This window comes from Homo sapiens, chromosome 13 (genome assembly GCF_000001405.40).
Source record: "Homo sapiens chromosome 13, GRCh38.p14 Primary Assembly".
In the NCBI taxonomy this organism is placed as follows: Eukaryota; Metazoa; Chordata; class Mammalia; order Primates; family Hominidae; genus Homo; species Homo sapiens.
The window spans coordinates 54,914,657-54,917,735 of NC_000013.11; positions in this window are offsets into that span (position 1 = coordinate 54,914,657).

Sequence of the window (3,079 nt, forward strand, 5' to 3'; positions counted from 1 at the left end):
AATAATAATAAAACACCTACCAAACAAAAAAGCACCAGAACAGACAGATTCACAGCTGAATTCTGCAAGATGTACAAAGAACAGCTGGTACCAATTCTACTGAAACTGTTTCAAAAATTGTGGTGAAAGGACTCTATCTCATTCTATGAAGCTAACATCACCCTGATACCAAAACCTGGCAAAGACACAGTAAAAAGAAAATGAAACTAGAGGTCAATATTCCTGAGGATCATAGATGCAAAAATCTTCAACAAAACACTAGCAAACGAAATCCAGCAGCACATTAAAAAGTTAATTCACCATGTTTAAGTATGCCTCATTCCTGGAGTGCAAGGTTGGCTAACACATGCAAATCAATAATGTGATTCCTCAGATAAACAGAATTAGAAACAAATATGATCATCTCAATATACACAGAGAAAACTTCTGATAAAATCCTACTACATCCCTTCATGATACAAACAACTCAATAAATAGTCATCAAAAGAATATACTTGAAAATTGTAAGAGCCATTCATGACAAACCCACAGTCAACATTCTACTGAATTGGCAAAAACTGGAGCATTCCCCTTGAGAACTGGAACAAGACAAGGATGCACACTGTTACCATTCCTATTCAACATAGTCCTGGAAGTCCTAGCCAGAGCGTTCAGGCAACCGAAAGAAATAAAAGACATCCAAATAAGAAAAGAAGAATTCAAACTATCTCTCTTCACAGACTGCATGATTTTATACCTTGAAAACTTTAAGAACTCCATCAAAAGGCTCCTAGAACTGATAAGAGACTTCAGCAATGTTTCAAGATACAAAATCAACATATAAAAATTGATCATATTTCTATACACCAATAATATTCAAGCTGAGAGTGAAATCATGAATTCAATCCCATTTAAAATAGCCATAAAAATTAAAACACCTAGGAATACATCTAACCAAGAAAGTGAAAGATCTCTGCAAAAAAAACTGTGAAACACTGCTAAAAAAATCATAGATGACACAAACAACTGGAAAAACATTCCATGCCCAGAAGAATGTTGGAAGAATCAATATCATTAGAATCAATTAGAAGAATCAATATCATTAAAATGGCCATGCTTCCCAAAGCAATCTACAGAATAAATGCTTTTCCATCAAGCTACTGTCATTTTTCACAAAATTGGAAAAAAACTATTCTAAAATGCATATGGAACCAAAAAGAGCCGAAGTAGCCAAAGCAATCCTAAGTGAAAAGAACAAAGTTGGAGGCATCACACTAGCCATCTTCAAACTATGCTATACTGTAGTAATCAAAATAGCATGGCACTCATACAAAAACAGACATGTAGACCAATGGAGCAGAATAGAGAGCCCAGAAATAAAGCTACACTTATAGCCATCTAATCTTCCACAAAATCAGCAAAAATAAGCAATGGGAAAGGACTTCCTATTCAATAAATAGTGCTTGGATTGCTAACTAACCATATGCAAAAGAATTAACTGGAACCCTGACGTTTCACAGTATACAAAAATTAATTCAAGGTGGATTAAAGGTTGAAATATGAAACCTAAAACTATAAGAATACTAGAAGAAAACTTAGCAAACACTATTCTGGATGTGGGCCTTGGAAAAAAAAATGACTAAGTCTTCAAAAGTAATTGCAACATAAATAAAAATTAACAAGTGCAACCTAATTAAACTAAAGAGCTTCTGCACAGCAAAAGAAGCTAGCAACAGAGTTAACAGATAACCTACAAAATGGGAGAAAATATTCACAAACCATACATCCAAGAAAGATCAAATATTCAGTATTTATAAGGAAATTAAACAATTGAACAAGCTAAAACCAAATAATCCCATTATAAAATGAGCAAAATATATGAACAGACACTTCTTAAAAGAATACATAGAAGCAGCCAACAAACATATGACAAAATGCTCATTATCACTAATCAGCAGAGAAATGCAAGTGAAAACCACACAAAGATATGACTCATACGCATTAGGTTGGCTAAGATAAGAAAATCAGACCAAAAAAATGGTGAGGATAGAAAGAAATTATAACATTTATTCCTTACTTATGAAATTGTAATTATAAGTGTTGTAGCCACTTTGGAAAACTGTTTGGCAAATCTCTAAATGTTAAAAACAGAGTTACCATATTTATTGTATGTATGTACATACTTCATATTTTCTGAATATTATGATGTTTTGTTATCTTAAAAGTAAAAAAAAAAAATCTTTCTGGCTGGGTAGAGACTGTTCCTTCCAGGAGTTGGCAACTCTGGCTTTTTTCTTGATGCATAATAATTGTACATATTTATGGAGTATATGTAATATTTTGATACATGCATACAATGGGTAATGATCACATTATAGTATTTAGCATAGCCATGATCCCAAACATTTATCATTTGTTTGATACCAATGTTGTGTTGGAAACATATTAAATCCTTTCTTCTAGTTATTTTGAAATACATAATACATTGTTGTTAAGGGTCCATTCCAAGATGGCCGAATAGGAAGAGCTCTGGTCTGCAGCTCCCAGTGTGATTGACCCAGAAGATGAGTGATTTCTGCATTTCCAACTGAGGTACTGGTTAATCTCATTGGGACTGGTTGGACAGTAGGTGCAGCCCATGGAGGGCATGCCAAAGCAGGGCAGGGCATCGCCTCACCCAGGAAGTGCAAGGGATCAGGGGATTTCCCTTTCCTAGTCAAGGAAAGCCGTGACAGACTGTACCTGGAAAATTGGTACACTCCCGCCCAAATACTGCGCTTTTTCCACAGTCTTAGCAACTGGCAGACTAGGAGATTCTCTCATGTGCCTGGCTTAGTGGGTTCCAAGCCCATGGAGCCTTGCTCACTGCTAGCATGGCAGTCTGAGATCCACCTGCAAGACTGCAACTGAGGAGGGGAAGGGGCATCCACTATTGCTGAGGCTTCAGTAGGTAAACAAAGTGGCCTGGAAGCTCGAACTGGGTGGAGCCCACTGCAGCTCAGCAAGGCCTACTCCCTCTATAGACTCCACCTCTGTGGGCAGGGCATAGCTAAACAAAAGGCAGCAAACAACTTCTGCAGACTTAAGTGTCCCTGTCTGA